The sequence below is a fragment of the Homo sapiens genome, chromosome X (genome assembly GCF_000001405.40).
Source record: "Homo sapiens chromosome X, GRCh38.p14 Primary Assembly".
Classification (NCBI taxonomy): Eukaryota; Metazoa; Chordata; class Mammalia; order Primates; family Hominidae; genus Homo; species Homo sapiens.
The window spans coordinates 124,003,882-124,031,438 of NC_000023.11; the positions used below are offsets into that span (position 1 = coordinate 124,003,882).

The window sequence follows — 27,557 nt, forward strand, 5'->3', positions numbered from 1 at the left end:
TATATTTTAATACACTATAGTCATGTGTATTTGTTTTTGATGTATTTTAAAAATCAGTTTATATTGATACTCCTGATGAAACATTTTTTGCTTTAACTTTTTTATGGTAAAATACAGATAACATATACATTTGAACCATTTTTAAGTGTACAGTTCAGTAGCATTAAGTGCTTTCACATTTGTTGTGCAGCCGTCACCACCATCCATCTCTGGAACTTTTTCTTTTTTGAAAACTTTCTAGAGGTTCATATTTATTGGCATTTGACCTAGAGTCTTCCTCATGGGCAAGGTGCAGCCCTGGGCAGGACTATCAGCATCCTGCTGTCTCCTCAATTCTGTTAATCCACCAATCCTAATCCCTCCTAACCCCACTCATAGTCCAGAGAAGATAAAAAGTTCAGGGACATGGTGTACTGCTCTCCAGATCCTTTCCCAGCTGAAACTCTATACCCATTTAGCACTAATTTCCCATTTTCCCTAGCCCAAGATAACCAACCACCATTCTACTTTCTCTTTGAATTTGACTCCTAGGTACCTCACATATATATTCCTATTTAGTGGAATTGTAGACTATTTATCCTTTTGTGACTGGCTTATTTCACTTAGCACTGTTTTCTAGGTTCATCCATGTTGTAGCTTCTGTCATAATTTCCTTCCCTTTTAAGGCTGAATAATTTTCCATTGTGTATATGTACCATATTTTGTTCATCCATTCATTCATTGATAGATACTTGAGTTGCTTCTACCTTTTGGCAATTGTGAGTGATGCTGTTATGAACATGGGTGTACAAATGTCTGTTTTGAGTCCTTGTTTTGCTTTCGTGCATTCTATTAAAAATGTTAAGGTTCTTTGCTTTTTACTTTTTTTTCTCTTTTATCCACCTTTTGACTTTATTCTTAAAGTTTTATCTTGGTATAATAATTTATGGTATGTTGCAGAATTAGGAGCAAAGTCCCGTGTGTCCTTCACTCAGTTTCCCCCAATGGTAACATTTTTCATAATTACAGCACAATGTCAAGACCGGGAAATTGACATTGATACAGTCCATATACAGGTGTCCCTTGGTATCTGTGGGGGATTGGTTCCAGAACCCTCGATGATACCAAAATCCATGGATGCTTAAGTTTATTAGATAAAATGGCATAGTGTTTTCACATAACCTACACACATCTTCCTGTATACTTTAAATCATCTTTCGATTACTTATAACACCTAATATAATATAAATGCCGTGTAAATAGTTATATTGTATTGATTTTATTTGTATTTTTTTTATTGTTGTTATTTTTCATTGTGTTTTTTCCCTGAATATTTTCTATCTGTGGTTGGTTGAATCTGAGCATGGGGAACCCATGGATATGGAGGGCTAACTGTATTTATTCAGATCTTGCTAGTTATACATGGACTCATTTAGATAACTATGTTTGCATGTTTTATGTGTATAATTCTATGCAGTTTTATCATGTGTGGATAGGTGTAAGCACTACCACCACCATCACCATCACCATCAAGACACAGAACTGTCCCATCATCACAGATATCCCTCACACTACTCATTTAGTTACACTCACTCCCCCACCCCTTCTCTCCTTCCTCTATTTGGTTTCTAATCTGTGTCAACCACTAACCTGTTATTCATAATTTTGACATTTTCATGGAGTCATATAAATGGAAATCATACTGTATATAACTATTGAGTTTTTGTTTTGTTTTGTTTTTGCATTTAGCATAGTTTCCTTGGGATCCATCCATGTTGTTATATTTCAGTAATTCATTTCTTTCTATTACTGAGATGTAGTCTGCGGTACAGATGTACCACAGTTTGTTTAACCATGTACTCATTGAGGGATTTTTGGGTTTGTATTAGTTTTTTAGGGCTGCCTAACAAAGTAGCACAAACTGGGTGGCTTAAACAACAGAAATTTATTGTTCTGGAGGCAAGAAGTCCAAGATCAAGGAGTTGGCAGGGTTAGTTCCTTCTGAGAGAATCTATTCTGTCCCCCTCTCTTAGCTTCTGGTGGTTTGCTGGCAATCTTTGGTGTCCTTTGGCTGGTAGAAGCATTACCTCCCATCTCTGCCTTCATTTTCACATGGTGTTCTCCTTGTGTGTATGTCTCTTTGCAAATTGTCCTTTTTTTTATTAGAGTACCACTCATATTGCATTCCTCCCTAAGGACTTCGTTTTAACTTGATAACTTCAGTAAAGATCCTGACTCCAAATAAGGTCATATTCTGAGGTACTGGGGGATAGGACTTCAACATATGAATGTTTGGGAGACACAATTAAACCCATAGCAGAGTTGCTTTCATGTTTTGGCTATTACAAACAAAGGTCCTATGGATGTTTATGTACATGTTTTTACGTAGACATAGGTTTTCATTTCTCTGGGATAAATGCTCAGGTGTAAGGTTACTGGTGGTTATGGTAAGTGCATGTATGGTTTTTAAAGAAACGTCTAAGCTCTTTGCCAGAGTGGCTGTAGTTTACATTTCCACCAGCAGTGTATAAGAATCAGTTTCTCTGCATCTTTGCTATCATTTGGTGTTGTCACTATTTTTTTTTTTTTTTTTTTTGAGAGGGAGTCTCGCTCTGTTGCCCAGGCTGGAGTGCAGTGGCACAATTTGAGCTCACTGCAAGCTCTGCCTCCCGGGTTCACACCATTCTCCTGCCTCAGCCTCCCGAGTAGCTGGGACTACAGGTGCCCACCACCACGCCCGGCTAATTTTTTTGTATTTTTAGTAGAGACGGGGTTTCACTGTGTTCATCAGGATGGTCTTGATCTCCTGACCTTGTGATCCGCCCACCTCGGCCTCCCAAAGTGTTGGGATTACAGGCGTGAGCCACCGTGCCCGGGCTGTCACTATTTTTTTATTTTGGCAATTCTTACAGATGTAGTGATATCATGTTGTGGTTTTAATTTGTGTTTTCTTCTATTCAGTTTAACATGTGTTTTAAAAGTTTGTTTGCTAATTATCTCTTTTATACTTAATATCTTGATTCTTAGGGTCATTAACAAGATTGCTTGCCTTCTCCTATAGTATAAAGAAAATAACTTCAGAAAAACAGAATTAGTGTAGCAGACAACAGAAGTATTGTATGAAGTTTAATTTTCTTTCCTTCTTTTTTTTAAAAATAGAGACATAGTCTTGCTCTGTCACCTAGGCTGCAGTGCAGTGACCTAATCACAGCTCACTGCAGCCTCGTACTCCTGGGCTCAAGCGATCTCTCTCTCTCTCTCTCTTTCTTCCCTCCCCCTCCACCCTTTCCCCCTCTCCCTTCCCCGCTTTCCTCCCTCTCCCTCCCTCTCCTTTTTTGTAGAGAACAGGTCTCGCTGTGTTGACCAGGCTGGTCTCAAACCCCTGGCCTCAAGCGATCCCCCCACCTTGGCCTCCCAAAGTGCTGGGATTACAAGTGTGAGCCATCCCATCCTGCTTTAAATTTTCTTCTTTTTGTCCTTAAAATTCTTCCCACTAAGGATAAGCAAAGTGTTGTGTTCTGACCTCACTTTATATGAATACTTTCTCTGTATGTCTGTGTTATTGATTTGATGTACATGATTAGGTTTTTTTTTCCAATTTGTCTTTAATTTCAGAAATTTCTGTTTCTATGACAGTGACATAACCTAACAAAATTCAGTTTCATTTGAATGAGTATGACATTTTCCTTATTCAAAAGTTAAAATTATATGCAAAGGTATATATAGAAGTCTTCCACAGATTCCTGTCTCGTATATTTCTTTTATCATCCCTTCCTCCTTACAACTTGGAAAAAGTGTTTCTTGTTAATCCTCTCAGTATTTTTTTGTGCAAACAAATACATCCATTCATATACATGTTCTTACTTTGTGAAAGGCATCACATTTTACATTATATTACATAATTTGATGTAAACTTAAATATTAAGTAGCAGACCTAACAGAAGACTTTCAGAGTTGTGTTAATGCTGTTTTTTATGTTGTGAGAGTTGAATCTGCTACACTGACTTCCACATTATTTTGTGATCTATGAGTTATGATCAACATGAGATAGTAGGTTCACTAGTAACTAAGTTCAAGTATGTAACACTGGAAAAACTGCTTGTTGCTTTATGACTTTGGGCAGAAAAACAGACAGGTGAAATGCAGTTGAATACTTTGTAAATTATGGTTAGCCAAAGTAGGTGACATAGGACTAACCTGTGAAAGGGGACATAATGAAGTAAAACATTCAAGTAAAATGACATGATAATGGCATATTTGGCAAACATCTTCAGAATAGATTATATGTAGAAGTTGGAGGAGAAAAGTTTTTCCCTTTCCTAGTTGCAATTTATTATTATTATTAATTTTCTTTCTTTTTTTTTTTTTTTGAGATGGAGTTTCACTCTTGTTGCCCAGGCTAGAGTGCAATGGTGCGATCTCGGCTCACTGCAACCTCCGCTTCCCAGGTTCAAGCGATTCTCCTGCCTCAGCCTCCTGAGTTGCTGGGATTACAGGCATGCGCCACCACGCCTGGCTAATTTTTGTATTTTAGTAGAGACAGGGTTTCACCATGTTGGTCAGGCTGGTCTCAAACTCCCGACCTCAGGTGATCCGCCTGCCTCAGCCTCCCAAAGTGCTGGGATTACAGGCGTGAGCCACCGTGCCCAGCCCTATTATTAATTTTTTAGAGACAGTCTCGCTGTGTTGCCCAGGCTAGTTTCAAACGCTTGGGCTCAAGTAATCCTCCTGCCTCAGTCTCCTAAAGTGCTGGATTAGGGGCATGAGCCACCATGCCCAGCTGCTAGTTGCAATTAATTTATTAATCAGGATAGCTAAGCACAGTCATTTATGGTGGGTGGAGGGAGACAGAGGGAGAGGGAGATTGTGTTTCATGATGAAAAGATCATTTTGAGTATTTTTGCCAAAATAATAATCATAGAATAAGATGGAGATCCTTGCATATGAATAATCTTCTCAATCATGTTGTTCTCAGTGTTGCTACGTTATTTGGCAGATAACTTTTTGCCAGGAGGATAATTATAACACATTTTTTTTTGAAAGAGTTTTCTAATTGAGAAGTTTCTTTCCTGACTAATGACTTAACAAATAAACCATTGTTACAACAAACTGTGTCATAACAGCAAAGTTGCAATAACTATGAATCTAAGATAGTTTCAAGTTCTCTGTAGTAGAGTGTACTTTCAAGTCTATCCAAAACAAAAACGTTAGCTCTAATATATATTTGTTTTTAATAATATATTGCTCTTAATATTAAATATATGTTGAGTCATTATTTCGCCTCCTTTCTTAGCATCTCGATAGTTCTTTTGGGGATATTGATTTTGCAGGATGCTTTAATGTATTTGTTGTTGTTTAGAAATAAGGCAGTCTTTTGGTCATAGTTCTAGGGAAGGTTTAAAAACTTCAGTCATCTTAGAGCTCAGATTGAGTTGGTCTGTTTGGATGGCATGCTAAAGTATATGAAATTTGCTTGGTTACAGGGCAAAATGTGAGAGTCCCCTAATGATATCTGGTACCAGTAATCTAACCAGGTAGGTAGGTAGGTAGGTAGGTAGGTAGGTAGGTAGGTAGGTAGGTAGGTAGATAGATAGATAGATAGATAGATAGATAGATATCTCTTCTTACTGGATCTTTTTCATGCTGTATGCTTCCTCTCGAGTTTAATGGAATCAAGTGTTGCATTTTAGGGTAATTCCTAAATCTTAGTATCATCACATGAGGCCATTTAGTATGCTAACCGTTGGATGCAGTTAGTTTGCGTTGCTGCTGGAAGATTGTTGCTGCTTTTTACCCTGGCTTTAAGTTGTGTGCTCTTGTGGGTAACTATGGGACTTGACTTGTACTGTCATATTTTGAACAAGGGAAATAAATGTTTAACATTTGTTAAATAGGTTTCAATGACAGTTTTCATACTCTATGGTGAGCAACTTAAATGTAAGGTTAGCTCTGGTTGTTCAAGTGTTTCCATGTTTTTTTGGAAAAGTTAGATTATTTCTTTTGATATTTTGCTGTAAATTTAACATAAGCTTTGGTGCATTTTACCTTATTAAACGGGAGACAAAAAGTCTCAAAATATTCTGAGTGTAGATATCAATGATTAGTGTCTTAATTTACAAAATGACATCTCAATAGATCAGTAGTTATATGGTATGTGGTATGCTTGTTTAGTAGAAAGGTGTTCTTAAATGATCGATGATTTAAGTAAAATCCTGTGAGTTTATACCATATGAGAGAAGCTTGCTTGATAAAAGAGGTTTCAAATTTAATTTTTTATTGTGGTAAACAACAACATTTACCATTTAACCATTTTTTAAGTGTATAATTGAGTAACGTTAAATATATCCAACTGCTGTGAAACAGATCTACAGAAATTTTTCATCTTGAAAGCCAGAAACTCTATACCTATTAAACAACAACTCCCGTTTTTCTCTTCCCCTAGTCCCTGGTAACCATTCTACTTTCTGTTTCTATGAATTTGACTACTTCAGATACCTCATAAGTTGAATCATATGGTATTTGTCTTTTTTGTGACTAGCTTATTTCAGTTAGCATAATGCCCTTAGGGTCCATCCGTGTTGTAATGTAGTACAGATGTTCCTTCCTTTTAAAAGGTGTGTAACTCATTTTATGTATCTACTACATTTTGTTTATCCATATCTGTTCTATTCCACTGGTCTATTTGTCTTTATGCCAGTACCTCACAGTTTTGATTACTGTAGCTTTGTACAGTAAGTTCTCACTTAGTGCCGTTCTTAGGTTCTTGGAAACTTGGGCTTTAAGCAAAGCGGTGTACAGCAGATCTTTGAACAATATCAATTTGTTCAGTGTTGTTTTGTTATAATGTTGATGAGGAAAAAAATTGGTTTCATTCATTATACGTCATTTTGCTTAACATTGGAGTTTCCAAGAACCTGTTGGTGATATTGAGGACTTTCTCTAAAATGCTTTGAAATTAGGAAGTGTGAGTCCTCCAACTTTGTTCTTTTCTTCCTAAAATTGTTTGGGCTTTTTGGGGTCCCTTGAGATTCTATATGAATTTTCAGCTTAATTTTTTTCATTTTTGCAAAAAGTGCTATTGGAATTTTGATAGGGATTGTGTTGAATCTGTAGATTTCTTTGGGTAGTATGGACTTCATGATAATATTAAGTCTTCGAATTCATGAACACAGGATGCCTTTCTATTTGTGTCATCTTTCATTTCAGCAGTATTTTGTAGTTTTCAGTGTACAAGTCTTCTACGTGCTTGGTTAGGTTTAGTATTTTACAGTTTTTGATGCTGTTGTAAATGGAATTGTTTTCTTAATTTCCTTTTTGGATTGTTAGTATATACAAGAATTTTGTGTGTTGATTTAATATCCTGCGACTTTATTGAATTTGTGGTTATTAGTTCTAAGAGTTTTTATGTGTGTGTAAACTTTGGGATTTTCTACATATAAGATTGTGTCATCTGGGAACAGAGATAATTTTACTTCTTTCTTTCTTTCTAACTTGGATGCCTTTTATTTGTTACTTTTCCTGCCTAATTGCTTTGGCTAGGCCTTCCAATACTATGTTGAATAGACACGTAGTGGGAGTGGGCATCCTTGCCTTGTTCTGTATGTTAGAGTAAAAACTTTCAGTCTTTTACCCTTGAGTATAATATTAGCTATGAGTTTTTGACTTTTACTATGTAGAGATAGCGTCTTAGTCCATTTTCTGTTCCTTACAACAGAATATCTGAAATTAGGTACTTTATAAAGAAAAAGAATTTATTTCTTACAGTTAAGGAGGCTGAGAAGTCCAAGTTTTGAGGGTCCACATCTGATGAGAGTCTTCTTGCTAGTGGGAACTCTGCACAGTTCCTAGGTGTTGCAAGGCATCACATGGCAATGGGACTGAGGGTGCTTGCTCAGGTCTCTTTCTCTTCTAAAGCCACCTGTCCCACTCTCATAACTATTAAATCATTAATCCAGTAATCCATGAATGGATTAACCTATTCATGATGGCAGAGCCCTCCTTACCCAATCTCCTATTAAAGACCCCACTTCTCAGTACTGCCACATTGGGGATTAAATTTCCACGAGTTTTTGAGGGGACAAATATTCAAACCATAGCAGGTGATTTTTTTCTAGTTTTAACTTGAGTGTTTTTTATAGTGAAAGGGTGTTGAATCTTGTCAAATGCTTTTCCTGCATCAACTGAGATGATCATGTGGTTTTTGTCCTTCATTCTGTTGATGTCCTGTGTTACATTGATTGATTTTTGTATGTTGAAACAGTCTTGCATTTCAGCAATAAATCTCACTTGGTCATGGTGTATAATATTTTAAATGTTTTAAATGATGAATTCTGGTTTGCTAGTATTTTGTTAGGAATTTTCGCATCAATATTCATCAGGGATATTGGTCTGTAGTTTTCTTATAGTGTCTTTTTCTGGCTTGAATTTAATTTTTAAAATGTAATTTGCATGCCTTACTCTTTGTCTAGGAATGTTTAAGATTAGAGAGAATTAAAAGAATTTTAGAGTACCACATATGTGTCTCCTGTTGTTACCACTGTGTGGAATTACCAAGTGAAGAATCAAACTCTTAGATCTGAAATACGAATTGGGAAGTACTATAGTGTGTTGACAAACTGAATTATGAAAGCATATTTGATTTCTGAACTTGAATATGCATATAATTCAAGCCTATGAATTGTGTACTGTGGTTGTTAGCTAAAAGGTTAGTGGGTAATATCAAGTGGCTGGTAATGCTAAATATTTTAATAAGGTCAGCTAATCAGAAGTGAAAGGAACAAAAAAATTGGACATGTGACATATATGTGTTCTTATATAGTCATGCTAAAATGAAAAAAGAGGCATTACATATTAATAGTCACCACATTTTTAAATTTTGGGTTAAAATTTTTCATTCTCTATAAAGTGGTTTATTTTTCACATTGGTTTTATTGTTTTTAATCTACTGAATTGTTTTTTGGCTACAGTTCTATCTTCATTATCATGCAAATTATTAATAAAAATTCAGTAATTCATTGAGATACTTTTTACTACCTTGAGTAAATAAATGTGAAAACTTGTGATGTAATCTATTGAGAGTATGTGAAATGAAAATTTAGATTTCCCCCAACATCAAGCAGGATTATCCTGTGTTCATCTACTCTTCTATGAAATCTGCCTTTTTTTGAAATTTGCCAGTGAGCCAGTGATGCCCAGTGTGAAATGGTTTAGATGGCAATAATATATTGTGCTTATATCATGCTGTATACCATTTAACCCTTCTTGTAAATTTGATTTTTGGATCTGGATATTCATTTATACCAGCTAATATGGTCTCATTGGAAATGTTGATAGCCACTACACCAAGTTGTAATTACCCATGTTTATTTGTTATGTCTTAACATTACAAATTGACATCACAAGTTACATCACAAAGTTATGTTAATAAGATGGAGATGTATACACATGCACACACACACACACAAACACACACACACACACACACACACGCACACCAGTCCAGAAAGCTAACTGTAGAATGTGGTATTCAGATATAAGTGAGATGAAGAGTGGATAATGACAGTATTAAAACAATTATTAGCTATTGACCTTGGCAGACTGAGAAATGATTTTAAGGTGATAGTATATGATAAAACAAATATTCTATCTGTTTTGATATTTGTCTTAGGATAGAGCCAGATAATGTCTAGTCAGCTGCAGCTTATTAGGGCTGACTGGGGAAAATAGTAGTCTTCAAATTAGATAGCAGATATGTATCCAATATGTCAACTATAATATGGTATCCAGTGTCTAGCAGCAGCCAGTGCCAGTATGGTCAGACAGATGAGAGGACAATATTGCGGCATTCAGGTTAAGGCAACTCAAGAGACAAATGGAGACTTTTTAGGGTGGGTTTATGGGCAGGATTCCAGTACCAGAATGAAGGTAGATGTATTACAGCAGGAACATGTCAGACGGGGTAGGATCTTTGGGTGATTCAGGTACAGGTTACAATTGAGTACTGAGCACAAGTTGGCTCTGTGGGAATAGGACATAAGCCTTTTCTTGTCTCCCTCCAACCCCTAACTAAGGGGGTTGCTAAGTTCACAAGGCGTGCTAGGTTTTCTACAGACATCAAAAATGGTCATTGAGAACTGGGACAGCCTGAGTATGTAGGTTTGTCAAGGTGATCACAGTTGTGGTGATGGCTCGAGTCATGTTTTGAAAGTATTGGGGAAAGTGAGTAGACAAGAAAACTAGGAATATTGCTGTGCACCTACTATAATACGCTTAAAAATAGGAAGGGAGCAGGTGGATGTATCCCGTTTTGTAAATTTTAGTTTCTGGCAGTGTGTAGTGATGCTGTATCTGTAGACTGCCCCAGCTTGCTCCTTCCCCAATTCCTGAAAATAAAAGTTATTTTTGTAATGTTGTGGCCTTAGGCCTGTTCAGTTTGTCTACTTAGTTATTTTAGAAAGGCCTTTTACTTTGGCCTCCTTCCATCCTTTATATATATGTATGTATAAAATTTTTTTTTTTTTGAGACAGTCTTGCTCTGTTGCCCAGGCTGGAGTGCAGTGGCACGATCTCGGCTCACTGCAGCCTCCACCTCCTGGGTTTAAGCGATTCTCATGCCTCAGCCTCTGGAGTAGCTGGGATTACAGGCCTGTGCCACCATGCCCAGCTAATTTTTGTATTTTTAGTAGAGATGGTATTTCTCCACGTTGGCCAGGCTGGTCTGGAACTCCTGGCCTCAAGTGATCTGCCTGTCTTGGCCTCCCAAAGTGCTGGGATTACAGGCCTGAGCTACTGCACCCGGCCTGTCCTTTATATTATTTTTAAAGTTTGTAAATATAGATTTCCTACTATTAGTTAGGAAATATAGACAGGGTCATTAATCTTCTTACATATGCAGATTTCTTCCAGGCATGCCTTCTCTGGTTTACCTATTCCTGTACCAGAGCAGGGACTACCATTAGGAATTCTGTAGGACTCCATCCAGGTTTGTGTAAAAGAAAAGATATTTGCGAATGATATATGTGGTAGCTGTAATGTGAGTGTGTTGTCAAGAAACTTTTAGGTTAAGATTTTACTACTGGGCTGAGTACACATGATCATTGCTTAGTTTGACGTACTTTTCTTTTTTTTTTTTTTTTTTTTTTTTTGAGACGGAGTCTCACTCTGTCGCCCAGGCTGGAGTGCAGTGGCTTGATCTTGGCTCACTGCAAGCTCCACCTCCCGGGTTCACGCCATTCTTCTGCCTCAGCCTCCCGAGTAGCTGGGACTACAGACCCCCAACCACCAAGTCCGGCTAATTTTTTGTTGTTTAGTAGAGATGGGGTTTCACCGTGTTAGCCAGGATGGTCTCGATCTCTTGACCTCGTGATCCTCCCGCCTCGGCCTCCCAAAGTGCTGGGATTACAGGTGTGAGCCACCGTGCCTGGCCTAGTTTGAAGTATTTTCACCATGTCATTTACTTAGAATAGTATAGCACAAATTAGGGAGATTAACAGAGGGAGGACAAATATCTTTTAGGTAAGAAGAATTTCTTTTTTTTTTTTTTGAGATGGCATCTTGCTCCGTTGCCCAGTCTAGAGTGCAGTGGCATGATCTTGGCTCACTGCAACCTCTGTCCCCCGGGTTCAAGCGATTCTCCTGCCTCAGCCTCCCAAGTAGCTGGGATTACAGGTGCATGCCACCATGCCCAACTGATTTTTCTATTTTAGTAGAGATGGGGTTTCACCATGTTGGTCTTGAACTCCTGACCTCGTGATCCGCCTGCCTCCACCTCCCAAAGTGCTGGGATTACAGGTGGGAGCCACCACACCCGGCCGAATTCTTGTTAAAGATTGTTACTCATCAAAGGGGCAGTAGTTTTTTTCTTTTTGAAGGTAGATATTTATGTCCACATTTTGGGTTAGCTTTTCATTTTTTTGCCCGCATGTACATCATTTGACATAGAAATGATAGTAACTTTCCTGTTTGGATCAAATGTACTACTGCAGGAAGTAGTCTACCTTTTAGCATTCACAACCTCAAACTAAACAACAGACTTCTGTATGCTGTCTCCTGAGAAAGTACATAGGCCAATAAAAGGAACATACCTTTGGGTCTTGTTGTCAGGAGCCTGTAAGAAAGTTTATGTTCCCTGCTAATCTTGAGTAGGCAAACATAATAAAGGTAATTTTATGATAGAACTCAGAGTTTTTGTACATTTAATTTTATATGATTATAAACATGAAATATGAATAGATTTTAGCAGCATAGTTTTGTAATTCCTTAGGTAGCTTAGGTTTTTAAACAGTTTTTTTTTTCTCCTGAGGACAGTCTCACTCTATTGCCCAGACTGGAGTGCAGTGGCATGTTCTCAGCTCACTGTAGCCTTGACCTCCCAGGCTCAAGCGATCCTCCCACCTCAGCCTCTCAAGTAGCTGGGACTATAGGCACGCGCCACCATGCCCAGCTAGTAGTTCACGTTTTAACAGAGTACATTAAAAACTGAATTTCCCCTTCATAATTTCCTTTTTTGTACTAACAATAAGATTGTAAATAAAAAATTAAAAAATTACCCACCTTGATTTGTTACTGTATTCCTTTGCTTCTTTTTTGTTGTTATTATGTCTGTTTACCCACATTGGTACACAGTCATAAATAGTTTCAGTGTATGAATATTACATTAATTACATTGATGTACTATCAGTGGTACTTGGTTGGATGAATTTTTAGTATTTAGAAGCTTTAAAAATCCTATTTCACTAGAATAGGGAGTTGGCCAGGTCAATAATTTTTTCTGTGTCTATCAGACCTTGACACAACATTTTTTTCTTTTAAAATTATATGTACCTGTCTGGGCGCAGTGGCTCACACCTGTAATCTCAGTACTCTGGGAGGTTGAGGTGGACAGATTGCTTGACCCTGGGAGTTCAAGACTAGCCTGGGCAACATGGTGAAACCCTGTTTCTACAAAATACACAAAAATTAGCTGGGCATGGTGGTGCTCGCCTATAGTCTATGGATAATTGGACATTTTGGTAATTCCTAATTTTAAGTGTTTGTATTATAGTGATGGTGGCATTTTAGAAGGGTGTATACATTTCCTGGATGTGATCCTTACATATAGAAGTATGTGACCCTTTTGGGAGGAGTGTTAAGGGTATGGCATGTGGTGTGTGAATTTGCCAGCTTTTAGCAGTTGAATATTTCTGCATTTTTAGTGAGAGAATTAACATACCAGCTACTTAAGTGTTCCCCTCCCCTGTGCTCTCCAGTAATATATTATTAATATATGGATTCTGGGGAACCTTGTTAGTGATGGCTTTGTTGGTAGCTTTTCATTTTTTTGTCTTGAGACCACTTGGGATTGAATTAAATACCTTTTTTTTTTTATGGAGATGGAGTCTCACTCTGTTGCCCAGGCTGGATTGCAGTGGTGTGTTCTCGGCTCACTGCAACCTCCGCTTCCCGGGTTCAAGCGATTCTCCTGCCTCAGCCTCCCGAGTAGCTGGGACTATAGGTGCACACCACTGTGCCCAGCTAATTTTTGTATTTTTGTTTTAGAGACGAGGTTTCATCATGTTGGCCAGACTGGTCCTGAACCCCTGACCTCGTGATCTGCCCGCCTCAGCCTCCCAAAGTGTTTGGATTACAGGCGTGAGCCACCGTGCCTGGCCCCTAAATTAAAGACCTTTAAAACAGTAATTATTTTGGGGGGAAAAAAATTAAATCATATCAAAGCAAGATATTAGGATGTTTTGTGTGTGCTTTTATTTTGTTGGGGGGTACTTTTGATGAATGTAGGAAGTCATTCTTTTTTTGGAGTTGCAAAGATTCAAGCATCATCATAATTTTTACTTGCTTGTATTAATGTGCTATAGTAATAGGTATCTGACAGGTGTTTCTTGTTATTGAATTTAACTTGTAATCTAAACTTTGAGTAACAGCCCATAAATATATACTAATTATGGATAACCTGAGAAGTTACGGTGATTAAGTTTCAGCTTTTAGGTCTGTTTATATTAAAAGCAGTGTTACTTGAATTTAATATTTAGAATTAGAAATAACGCGATCATCTGTTACTTTTTAATCTAATAATTAATAGCCTTTAATGGCAGCTCACTATACATGTGAACTTAAGCAAGTAGTTTTACTTTAATATATATTGTTTAGCTTATCTACAAATGGGATTGCCTGGTTTTCAGTAAGGAAAAGCAGAAGCTAGTTGTTGCTGGATAGGTTTTTTTCCCAGAAGGAAAATAGTGATTGAGACTTAATGCAAATTTTATTTCTATGCTTTATCCTCCAAAGCTGTTAGAATGTTAACTCTTTTATAGTAGGTATAGAGAATTGTTACATATGATGAAAACCTCAAAAGTTTTTTCTAGACACTAGGAGAGAGCTCCACCTTGTGATCTTGGAGCATATTTTTTAAAAAGTTAATAACCCGCAATAGTGCAGAAATTGTTTGGTGAGTTTGATTTTTAAACTGATACTTTTCTTTGAGCATTACATGTTTTTATAGTTTTGGGTTACCCAGCTGAAGTCAAATGGTATTAAGCACATTTGAAGATACTCTGAATTTGTTAATGTAAGTCTGTGGGGGAAACACATTGGATGGATGGATGGATGGATGGATGGATGGATGGATGGACAGACGGACGGATGGATGGATAGATGGATGGATTGACAGAGTCTTACCCCATTGCCCAGGCTGGAGTGCAATGGTGTGATCATGGCTCACTGCAGCTTCTACCTCCTGGGCTCAAGCAATCTTCCTGCCTCAGCCTCCCAAGTAGCTAGGTCTATAGGTGTGTGCCATCATGCCCGGCTGATTTTTTGATTTTTTGTTGAGATACGGTCTCACTGTGTTGTCCAGGCTGGTCTCGAACTCCTGGGTTTAAGCCATTCTCCAACCTCATCCTCCCAAAGCGCTGGGATTGTAGGTGTGAGCCATCATGCATGGCCTGCAAATTGTATTTATATGCAGCTGTAGACATTTAAAATAAAGATGTAAACATTCTCAGCTCTTCCTGTAGATTAAAGTTTACATTTAGAAACTACTAATCCCAACTCATCCGTTGGGTTCCTTCCCTTCTAAATTACAAAGCAATTTTAATATTTGTAATTTTTTGTTGAGCTATGATGAACTGTTTTTATGGCAAATAAGTCATTTAGAGAATGACTAGCAAACACTCGGATACATGGAATTTAGCACTCTTTTTTTTTTTTTTTTTTTTTTATTTAAGATGGAGTCTCGCTCTGTCACCCAGGCTGGAGTGCAGTGGCGCAGTCTTGGCTCACTGCAAGCTCCACCTTCCGGGTTCACGCCATTCTCCTGCCTCAGCCTCTGGAGTAGCTGGGACTACAGGCGCCTGCCACCACGCCTGGCTAATTTTTTGTATTTTTAGTAGAGATGGGGTTTCACCATGTTATCCAGGATGGTCTCCCTGACCTTATGATCCGCCTGCCTTGGCCTCCCAAAGTGCTGGGATTACAGGCGTGAGCCACCGCGCCCGGCCAGCATTCTTATATTTAATAATAATAAGTGGCAAGTAGGTACCTTCTCGTAGAAATAATAATCACATTTCTTAACAGGTATTAAGGACAAGGATCATTGTTCTCCTGTTCACTGTTGTATTCTCATTGCCCAGCACTACATTTGGCACATGGTGGATACTTTCACTTGGTTGGATGAATTTTCAACATTTAGAGACTTTAAAAAAATCTTATTTCACTAGGATAGGGAATTGGCCAGTTCAATAATTTTTCTATCAGACCCTGACACAACTTTTTTTTTCTTTTAAAAATATATGTACCTGGCTGGGCGCAGTGGCTCACGCCTGTAATCTCAGCACTTTGGGAGGCTAAGGTGGGTGAATTGCTTGAGCCCAGGAGTTCAAGACTAACCTGAGCAGCATGGTGAAACCCTGTCTCTACAAAATAAGAAAAAATTAGCTGGGCCATGGTAGTGTGTGCCTATAGTCCCAGCTACTTGGGAGGCTGAGATGGGAGGATCACTTGAGCCTGGGGAGGTCAAGGCTGTAGTGAGTTGTGATTGCGCCACTGCACTCCAGTGCGGGTGACAGAGTAAGACCTTGTCTGTCTGTCTCTATTTTTTATATACGTATAATACGCACATGCGCGCATCTATCTTGTCTTGAGAGATACATCTTACATCTTTGATTTTGCTTTTGTGTTTGCTTTGGTTTCTAATTACAAAGTACATGTTAGTATAGCCTATGCTTTGCAAAATAATTTGGCCTGGGAATGCTTCTTTCTTTTACAGTAGAAATTAATTTTGTGCTATTTAGAAGAATCCAGTATATCGCACAATATTCATTTTATTTAGTATTCTCTGCTTCTCAGAGATGATGCATTCTTTATATTCATCACCTGTGATTCCTTAGGTGACTGTATTTACGAACTACCTTTAAAGTGTGCTTAGAAATTATATTGAAGGAAAGCAGCAACTTTGGTTTTGATGAAATGCTCAGAGACGCAGACAGATACAGCAAGGATCACATGACCTTTTTTATTTTCATCTTGCCGTCTAGATGACCTGACCTGTTCATTAGAATTTATTAGTTCTGTGCCTCTCCAGTTCCTTTAAAAGAAACAAAATGATTTTCTTTTATAAATAAGTTAGCATTTTAGGAGGTGAATGTGTATCTTACATATGATGACAAACTTCAGAAAAGAAAAAATTAGCCAGATGTGGTGAGTACCTATAGTCCTAGCTACTCAGAAAGCTGAGGTAGAAGGATCTCTTGAGCCCTGAAGTTTGAGGCTGCAGTGAGCTATGATTTGTGCCACTGCACTCCAGCCTGGGTGACAGAGTAAGCCCTGTCTCAACGAAAATAAGATTTTAAAATTTATGTATGTATGTATGTTTGAGACAGAGTCTCGCTTTGTCACCCAGGCTGGAGTGCAGTGGCATGATCTCAGCTTGCTTCAGCCTCCCGAGTAGCTGGGACTACAGGTGTGCACCAACACACGAGGCTAATTTTTGTATTTTTAGTAGAGACAGGGTTTCGCCATGTTGGCCAGGCTGGTCTGGAACTCCTCACCTCAAGTGACCTGCCCGCCTTGGCCTCCCAAAGTGCTGGGATTACAGGCGTGAGCCACTGCGCCTGGCTGAAAACAAGATTTTAAAATCTGAGTATCTTTCAGAAAAAAAATAAAGTGGTGGTATATGTTATTTGATTATTCAGGATTTAATTTGTGGATTATTCATTCTTGTTTCTCCTATTGCCTCATTTGTTATTTTGCTGTTCACAAAACATAAAATTAATATTTTTCTGTTTTAGCTTAAGTAAGCTAGGAAATACAATGTTTTGAACTTTGTATATTAATTAAATATTAGTAACCATTGATGATGTTTTCTAGAGAGATAAAATTACCAAGACAAATTGAGCTGTTTCTTGTGTGATATCTAACCTACTGGGAGAAGTCATTAGGAGTTTGTCAGTATGTTATATTTGAGCATTTAATATTAATTGGATATGTTTAATCTTACCTGCTTTTTCTTTAGGTGGCCACCGAGTACTAAATTCACTTGGGAATAAAAGAAAAACATAAGAAAATTATAAGAGAAAGGTACACATAAGACTAAGAGCTTTAGACTTTAGCTTCAGCCTGTTTTCTCCTTCCTTGTTTGCTTTTAGGTCATTTTCTTCATTTAGGAAATGCATCCTTGACTTTCAAAACATAGACATAATACCCTTTCTGTCTGCCATTTTTACATGTACTTTGGTCAAAAATGGCATTCATTTGTTGTTCGTATGAAATTATTGGCATTTAAATTGATCGTAAGTTCCTTGAGGGAGAGGAATAGATCAGATCTAACATTTTTTCCCCCTTCTCTTCTCAACAAAGTTTGTTATTATCATGAAGTGGTTATTTATTTAATAAGCCAGGCTTTGGACTGTATGTTTCCAGGGCAGGAAAATCTGTTTTAAAGTTATATCTTAGGTTTTTTTTATTAGCTCCTTTTAACTGTATGTGCATGATACCAGCAAAAGGTTGTATTTTCAGGCATCTCATATTATGGTTTAAAGTTCTCATAGGGATTTCAGGACCAGTAAGAGTCATATCCTGTTTCTATTTAGGATGTATTAATATATATATAAAGCCAGGCGGAGAATCACAAGAAAATTTAAAAACAATTGTTTTATAAGCTTCTTTTTCCCCTATGTGTTATTACTGTGGGGCTGCGAGTGTTACAACAAGTCCATATCTAGATTAAGCAGTCAAGGTCAGGCACGGTGGCTCATGCCTGTAATCCCAGCACTTTGGGAGGCCGAGGCAGGTGGGTCACCTGAGGTCAGGAGTTCGAGACCAGCCTGGCCAACATGGCAAAACCCCATCTCTACTAAAAATACAAAAATTAGCTGGTCATGGTGGCCCGCGCCTGTAATCTCAGCTACTCGGGAGGCTGAGGTAGGAGAATCGCTTGAACCTGGGAGGCAGAGGTTGCAGTGAGCCGAGATCGTGCCACTGCACCCCAGCCTGGGTGACAGAGTGAGACTGTGTCTCAAAAAAAAAAAAAAAAGAAAGCAGTCAAATGCAAGGGAATGAAATCCTTATTTACTAAAACACATTAGTAGGCACTGGGGAATTTAACTTTTGAGTATGGATATCCTTTCCGAATATTTTTGGTGCATTTGTAATAAATGTCATTTTCTCCTTTTTAAAGGAATTGTCTTAGAAGAAAGAAGGCAAGCCACCATTTTACCCACGTAAATATATGAATATATTTCTGACATTGAGGTGTTCCAGAAGATGATAAAGAAATGATAGCAGCTCCAGAAATACCAACTGATTTTAATCTACTACAGTAAGTAAATTATATTCTGATAATTTTTAAATACTTGTTTATTCCACAAAATGGGGAATGCATTAACTTCAGTTAAATTTCCTTCTGCTCGAGAAGATCTAATATATAAAATAGCTTTTATGCTTTGCAAGAGTTTATATCAGCACTCATCAAGGCTCTGTAATAATAATTATTCTGTACTTTTTTGTTGTTGTGTTTTAAATTTGTCTTTTAGTTTACATGCTGCAGTTTATTATTTTTTGTTGTGTAGTTCTGAGTCCATACTTGGTTTTGCAATAGCAACTGTTTTGAGAGAGCATCATAAAATTCCTAAAAATAAAGTTTTCTCATTAGTGAGGTATACCATGTGGCACTATTTAGGATGTAATGTCAGATTTCTGTTACAAAATCAAATGATGATTGCAGAAATAAGTTACATGTATATTGGTCCAGAAAGTGTTTTCAACATAGGTATCCTCTTTACCCCCATCTGAAAAGCTAACTGTACTCCTTAGCTTTTATTCTAATTACTCCTTGGTTTTGAAAGATTTTGAACTACTCTATGTAACAGTGATTTTCATACTAAGGTACAGTTTCATGAGTTGCCTCAGTGAAAAGTGAACTTTTAAATTGCCCGTGAATCCCTTTATTTACCCACCCCCACCACTGTATTTTTTATTAGGATCTTTATGAGACTTGACTTGAAAAGAGAGTTTAGTTGCTAAAAATTTTGAAAACAACAGACTAATACCTTTGTACATAATGGCAGCCAGCATTTACTTTTGATCATATGTAGATTTTCATATTTTTAATAATTTTGTTATCTTCAGTGGAGTTTATGAATCTTCTGGGACCAAATACATTCAGGTTCCCACAAAACAGCATTTTTAGTGAGGATTTTATGTATTCTAAGTCTCATATCTTTGTAAAAGTTAATTATTACCTTTGTTAATATTAAGTGTCTGCTGTATACAGGATGTTACATTAGATCCTGTGAGGAATTAAGTTAGGTACTTCCTGCTGCCTTTATGAGTTCATATTTTAAAGATATAAAGAGAAGATTATGAAGTTTCTTATATACTTGGTTAGAGACTATAAAAAGGGTTTATATTATGGACTAGACTATTGACTGTTAGAATATCTCAAATAATGAGGACCTGAAATAGGATAATGAATAAAAGGGAATTGATGTTGTTCGGGTGGAACAGGCCCAGCATTTGACTGGGTATGTGGGGTGCAGGGCACAGTAAAGAGGAATGGAAGATTCAGTCGTGTGATAGATGACTCAGGATGTTTCAGGTCACTGAATGGTTAATACAGTATGTTTAATAAACATAACTGTTATTTCACCTAGGGTAGTTTTTGTTGTTCTTTTGATCTTAAAAACACAGGAAAGCATTGAAGAACGGCTTAGGAGAGTATTTCTTCTTTGGTTGGGAGTATTTTAGACTTCCATTCTGATTACTCACTTAAGCTTTCTTTAGAAAGTTTTTCAGTAAGTTACCAAACCTCTAGTGCTTCACTCTTAGTTGGGATAGCTTGGAGATGAGTATTAAGAGGATAATTGAGCCCTTGATTACTCTGGCCATTGGAACATTGTGAAGACTATAGTGATTTTCTTCAGACTTAAAGCAGTTACTTAGCTCTTTAAGAGAGCTGGTGTCCTACGAAACGCTTGGGAAGAAATAAATATTACTTATACATCAAGATATTTTAAATTTTCATTTTTTTTTTGCAAGACCATATAGACATGTGAGAAGATTATTGATGACAACAATCTTCTTAAGATGTAACACACATGAGCTTCAGGGTTAATATTATAGTAGTCATTCAGTTTTTGGTGCATTAACTCTAGGGAATGGTATTTATTACAGGCCCTTTCCTCTCAACATTGTAGGATATAGTTAGGATTGCCACCACCTTCCATACATTGTTTAAATTACTTTATATGTAAGTGCTGTATAAATAGTATTTTTTTTCCTGCTAGCATCTTAATCATTATTTTAGATTTATGAAATATTCTTACCTCACAGCCTCTGCTACCTCATAGCCTCTGGGCAACTGGTTATTGTAGCAATAAAATGGAAATAGAAGAAATCTAGATTGAGAATACTAGTTTTATAAAGATAGCCTTTCACTTCGATTCCATTTATTTTAAGCAGAGCTGGTGCTAGGTTTACACATTTAGGGTGGAAAAACCTTTATCTTTTATGGATGTGGCTCAATTCTAAAATCCAGTGTGACCCAAATACTAATATAAGTATGCCTTGCTTTAAGCATTTAAATGAGGGTATGTTACTACTATTTAGATAGACTCATGTTTACTCATTTGGAAAGCATCACACATATTTATTTAAATCGGTCGGCTTCCATATGTTTGTGAGAAAATCCAGATTATACAAACTAGCCTTACCCCAACCCAGAACAAGGGACAGTTGTTTAGGACTATAGATTCATATGTTGGAGATTGTAGAGACTTTAGAGATTTCGTTCTTTCCTGCGTATATATTATTTATAGATGAGAAGATTGAGATTGTCACTTGTATAAGATCCACAGTTACTTAGTACCAAAACTGTTCTCCTGACTATAGCTCATCACCTCTTTACTTCATAAAGGATATTGATCACTTAGCATAATTCCCTAGTGTATTTCAAATGCTTTAGTTTATAAAAAGGTTTTATAAGTACCCTTTCAGAAATACATGTTTTGTATATTGACTCACCTAGATTTATAAATACTTTTCGAGTGAGGTAGGAGAGATCAGAGGATCCATAATCATAAAACTCCCTAATAAAGTTCCTCCAATGCCTAGTATTAAAATACAGTTTTTCCGCAGCACTGTGATCTTTGAAGTAGGAAATGGAACCAACGATTACATGGAACACCACAGTTCCTAGGGTTAAATTTTGAGACCCACTGGATTAGTTTTCATACTTTGATTAAAAATTAACAAAAATGTTTAGGTATTTGTATTTTAGATTATTATTTTTGTAGCTGCTTATGTAATCTTGTGTGTTTGGTAACGTGCTATAGTATGATGTTTTGGGGAAACATCTTAATTACTTATAATGCTAATATGAAGTTTTGTAATGAGTTAACCAAGCCTTTCTTTTAGAAAATATGGCAAAAATTAGAAACTCAATATAAATTTCTAAGGAAGGGTTTTAATTCTTATCTTTCTGTCACAGGGAGTCAGAAACACATTTTTCTTCTGACACAGATTTTGAAGATATCGAAGGAAAAAACCAAAAGCAAGGCAAAGGCAAAGTATGTATCAAATATTTGACTTTATTTTGTTTCCTAAGATCTCACACACACACAGATTTAAGTTATGTCTCAGATAGTTTTATCTTTTAAAAATGGCTTTTTAAGGGGGTGGGAGCTGATTGGTATGGTAAGCCTTCTGAGTAAATGTGGTCCTTTTGTCTTCTAGACCAGGTAGCCTTTGGGATCTATTTACACTGCTGTAAAGTTGCAAATAATAATAATAATAATAATAATAATAATAATAATAATAATACATTTCCAGTAGTTTATTTCGTAAAGCACAGTATGTGAAGCAGAATGCAATGTTCTGTTGGCTTTATTTTTGTTTTCCCACAAGTAATAAAATGTAAAGGAAAGCAATATATAAAATCTTTAAAGCACTCTAAAAATGTAACATACAACCAGTTTAAGGCTAATGGGTTACAAATGACAATAGTTTTACTCTTTATAAGTAATATGAAAGATAAAAAATTACAAAGTTAAGTTCTGAGTCAATATAATGTAAGTTTAAAGTGTGAGTGGGTTAGCCTGAGGGCTGGATATAACTTGGCGAATGGCTAAATTATTTTGTTGTTTTGGAAAGTATATTTGACTCTGCATGTGTGTAAATACATTATGCAAAAGATAACTTGTTTTTGTTGTTCAGCATTTGTTTTTCAAAATGAATTTTGGATTTATATTGTCTCATGACATACTTTGAAAAAGTCTTAACAATACAGAAGTTTACGATGACCAAAGTGAAATTTTTCCATAATCCTATCACCTGGAGGTAATTTATTCTTTAAACATTTTGATGCACATACTTCTATTCATACACCTATGTATAAACATGATGATAACATTTTATTTAAGTGGAGTCATACTATGCAAACAGTTTAATGTGCTTTTAAAACTCAATGGTATGTTGTCAACAGCTTTCCCATAAGTGACTGTAAAACTCTCTTTTATTTTTTTTCTATTTTTTAAATTAAATTTATTTGTTTTTTTGGAGATGGGGTCTCTCTATGTTGCCTAGACTGGAGTGCAGTGGCTATTCACTGGCACAGTCATGGCACACTACAGCCTCAAACTCTTGGGCTAAAGCAATTATCCTGCCTCAGCCTCTCGACTGGACTACAGGCACCACAGGCCTGTGCCACGATGCCTGGCTTCTCTGTAATTCCTTTTATTTTTTATTTTTGTAGAGATGAGATTTCACTATGTTCCCCAGGCTGGTCCTGTACTACTGGGCTCAAGCAGTCCTCCTGCCTCAGCCTCCCAAAGTGCTGGGATTTACAGGTGTGAGCCACCACGCCTGGCCATTCTCTTGTGATTTCTAATTGTGGCAAAACATCACGTTTAATGTATGGAACATAATTTATTTAACTAATGCTTGGAATATTTTTTGAGTGCTCATAATTCATGTGTTTCATAATTTTGTGTGCTCTCTTATTTCTTTAAAAAGACTCGAGAGAGGGATATGAATAGAAATATTAACTTACGGCTATCCAAAGATAACCTTAATTCTATTGGACAGTATAATTTATTAGAAAACCATTTTTTTTCCATTAACCTATTTTGCCTTTGATTTAATTTACAAGTTTGGACAAGATTCTTGGTGGCACCTGAGTAGATGACTCTGAAGTTTTTGTGCCACAGTTTGGTTAAGGTTATATAGCTACTACTGTGGGTGAGGTGTTGGGACAGGTCAAGGATTTATTACAATAATAGCAACTGCATTTTGAGACTATACTATGTATGTTCCATGTGTTGTGCTAACAATTTCACATGTTAATCTAATATTTGAACAACTGCGTAGATGAGAAAACACCATTATTTTATAGGTAGGAAACTGAAGTCCAGAGAATCCCAGTGGTTAAAGGATTTGAGTTCAGGTCTGTGCCCTTAACCCTCTATACTATACCACTTCCTAAAGTCTTTATGTAGAAGTTTTTTTTCTCTCCAAGGTTGTACACAGGTTAGCGTATTTGCTTTTTGTATAATGCTTCCTTTGTTATTATCACTCCTTGCACATTTTTTTTTCTAGCACAGCATACCCATTCTGCCATTTTAATTGTCCCAATTAGTTTTTCATACTGACAGGGACTATTGAGGCATTTGATAGATAAACTGCAAATATACAGCTCCATGTTAATTAACATTTTATATTTTACTAGTCTATTCTGTTGTAGTTGATCTTTTCTTTCAACCTTATCTCTGAAAATGCTTTTACTGGGGACAAAAGCCTTTCATTGTGCAATCAGGAATTAATGAATTAGGTTCACAAAGACTGAATCTCATTTACAGAATATAGCAGTCTCCCTTATTCTCAGGGATACATTCTAAGACCCCCAGTGGATGCCTGAAATTGCGGATAGTACAGAACCTTGCATATTGAATTTTTTCAATATGGTAACCAAAATGGCTAGTAAGTGACTAATGAGCTGCGTGGATATGCTGGACAAAGGGATGATTCACGTCCTGGGTGGGATACAGCAGGATGATGAGTGATTCTATCATGCTACTCAGAATGGTGTGCAATTTAAAACTTTTGAATTGTTTATTTCTAGAATTTCCTACTGAATATTTTTGGACTGCAGCAGACCAAGGGTAACTGAAACTGAATAAAGTAAAACCCAGGGGAGGACTACTGTATTGCAAATTAACAAGTAATATGTTTCAGATGTTTCAGGTGTTCCCCTTCAGGGAAGGGGTTTAAAGTAACTGTTAAGAGTTGAGTCGTTTTGGACTCTTGGAGGAAGAAGGGACCCTCTAAGGAATAAAGTACATAAATACCACAGGCTTTCAGTGGAAAGAAATTTGTAGGCATCGCTATAGATCAGAGATCCGCAATCTGTGGCTTGTTTTTGTACTGTCCAGGAGCTCTAAGAATAGTTTATATATATATATATATATATATATATATTTTTTTTTTTATAGAGATGGGGTCTCGCTCTGTTGACCAGGCTTGTCTTGAACTCCTGGCCTTAAGCAATCTTCCCATCTCAACCTCCGAAAGTATTGGAATTACAGGTGGGAGCCACTGCTCCCGGTCGTTTTAATATTTATTTATTTATTTATTTTTATTTATATATATATATATATATATATATATATTTATTTATTTATTTATTTTTGAGACGGAGTCTTGCTCTGTCGCCCAGGCTGGAGTGCAGTGGCGCAGTCTTGGCTCACTGCAAGCTCCGCCTTCTGGGTTCACGCCATTCTCCTGCCTCAGCCTCCTGAGTAGCTGGGACTGCAGGTGCCTGCCACCACGCCCAGCTAATTTTTTTGTAATTTTAGTAGAGATGGGGTTTCACCGTGTTAGCCAGGATGGTCTCGATCTCCTGACCTCGTGATCCGCCCACCTTGGCCTCCCAAAGTGCTGGGATTACAGGCTTGAGCCACTGCGCCCGGCCTATTTATTGCTCGAGACAGAGTTTCGCTCTGTCACCCAGGCTGGAGTGCAGTGGTGTGATCTCGGCTCACTGCAGCCTCCACCTCCTGGGTTCAAGCAATTTTCCTGCCTCAGCCTCCCGAGTAGCTGGGACTATAGGCGTATGCCGCCATGCCTGGCTAATTTTTTGTATTTTAGTAGAGACAGGGCTTCACCGTGTTGGCCAGGCTGGTCTCGAACTTCTGAGCTCAGGCAATCCGCCCACCTCGGCCTCCCAAAGTGCTAGGATTACAGGCGTGAGCCACCACGCTGGGCTGTTTTTATAATTTTAAATAGTTTTAAAAATAAAGAATGTGCTACAGAGACTGTATGTGGCCCACAAAGCCTAACATATTTACTATCCAGTTCTTTACAGAAAGTTGGCCAACACTTGCTTTCTAGATCGTAGAGATGTGTTGGTCTAAAAGAGACCTTTAAGAAATCATCAAATCCAGGGGTCGGAATACCTTTCTGTAAAGTATTTTAATTCAACCCTGGCATTTGAGAAATGAGGATTCCGAGTTAGGGAATGGCTTGTTTTCTTAAAGTATAAGAGCTATGGGAGGTATTTTTATAGCTTAGGCATATAGGGAACCTTTTCACTGATTTTTTTGATGCCCCTACCCGCGCGTCCCCACCCCCCACCAATACTGACAACTTTTGTTATAATGGGCTTCATTTCCATAGTTTTCATTAATTGAATTTTCATGATGACTAAATGTTGGAGGGAGGCCTAGAACAAGAATGAGATTGATAAACCTACTCCTAATGTTCAGAATTCCTTGTTCAGAGCACTGCAATGATTTCTAAGACTAACAATACAAATAAAATGTTGAACTGAGTATAAGGTACATATTTGATAATGAGTTTGGTTATTCTTGCTGCCCACTTCAGTCTGCATCCAAAAGCTGCATAAGGGAGTAATATAAAACTTGGAGATAGCTACCTTGATTTACTACACCCTTGAGAATTCTCTGATTATACTTGAGAGATATTTTTGCAGTGTTTTTCAAACTTTGTTGATATTTTGAGGGCTTTTAAGTCTGTGATTTTATATTACTTTTCAAAATAGATTCAAATCAGTATTTTGTGTCATTGTTTCTGTTGGTCTTCCTACCAGATTAAGATTCATGTAACATTTACTGAACTCCTTTTAACATAATTTTTTCATTTTACAGTGATAACAATAGCTGACATTTTTTGACTTTATTATATGCTGGGTATGTTGCTAAGTACTTTGTGTTTTCATTATCGCAGCAACCCTATGGGGTAGGCACAGTTTTATCCTCACTTTACAAATTAGAAAAACATCACTGAAACATAGTGTGGTTAAGTAATTTGCCTAAAATCACTCAGCTAATAGTAGCAGAAATTTGCACCCACAGAGTCTGTCTGTCTGCAGAGGCTATGCTGCTAACTACTATGTCATGTGAGGCATGGTAGTATACTTGAAAAAATGGACACCACAAAGAGGCTGTCACAGTTATATCATTTTGTTATAAGTGGATGGAATTCTTTAGGGCAAGTTTAAGCATGTTATGTACCCTATCAGCTACTTCTACTGTAGCTGTGTTTTGAACTCTCAAGGATAGTGATATAACTTAACCACCTCGTATTTTTTATGCAGACTTGTAAAAAAGGCAAAAAGGGCCCAGCAGAAAAGGGCAAAGGTGGAAATGGAGGAGGAAAACCTCCTTCTGGTCCAAACCGAATGAATGGTCATCACCAACAGAATGGAGTGGAAAACATGATGTTGTTTGAAGTTGTTAAAATGGGCAAGAGTGCTATGCAGGTAAGATTTATGTTGTTCTTCCCAGTTCATTTGTACATTTTAAACTTTAATGAGTTATATAGAGTGTAGCTCTGATTTTTCTAATTGCATTTTAAACATACACTACTTATTAGAAAAAAGCAACAAAATCATCAGAAAACTCTTGGGATGTATTTCTTCATATATAAGACTTTTGTGCTGTGTTTTGATTCATTTTCTGCTGCATGCTTTTTTCTTTTTTCTTATTTATTTTATTTTATTTTATTTTTTTTTGAGACAGAGTCTCGCTCTGTTGCCCAGGCTGGAGTACAGTGGCATAGTCTCGGCTCACCAC

The 27,557-nt window shown here is 37.2% G+C and overlaps 1 protein-coding gene across 35 annotated transcripts in view; it reads left to right on the plus strand.

The window, feature by feature from the left end:
• Positions 1 to 27,557, plus strand: part of STAG2 (STAG2 cohesin complex component) — a 142,097-nt gene that overhangs the window by 43,322 nt on the left and 71,218 nt on the right. For 18 of the 35 annotated variants that reach the window (NM_001441077.1, NM_001375366.1, NM_001375373.1 and 15 more), the window contains 3 exons: positions 18,650 to 18,790; positions 21,959 to 22,037; positions 27,080 to 27,244. In NM_001441077.1, the coding sequence (NP_001428006.1) occupies positions 18,747 to 18,790; positions 21,959 to 22,037; positions 27,080 to 27,244 (288 nt within the window). In that variant the 5' untranslated portion in view covers positions 18,650 to 18,746. Of the gene's footprint in view, positions 1 to 17,485; positions 17,551 to 18,649; positions 18,791 to 21,958; positions 22,038 to 22,683; positions 22,807 to 27,079; positions 27,245 to 27,557 lie in introns of those variants that run through there. The other 17 variants (NM_001042749.2, XM_047441783.1, NM_001375367.1 and 14 more) reach the window with 2 other exon arrangements.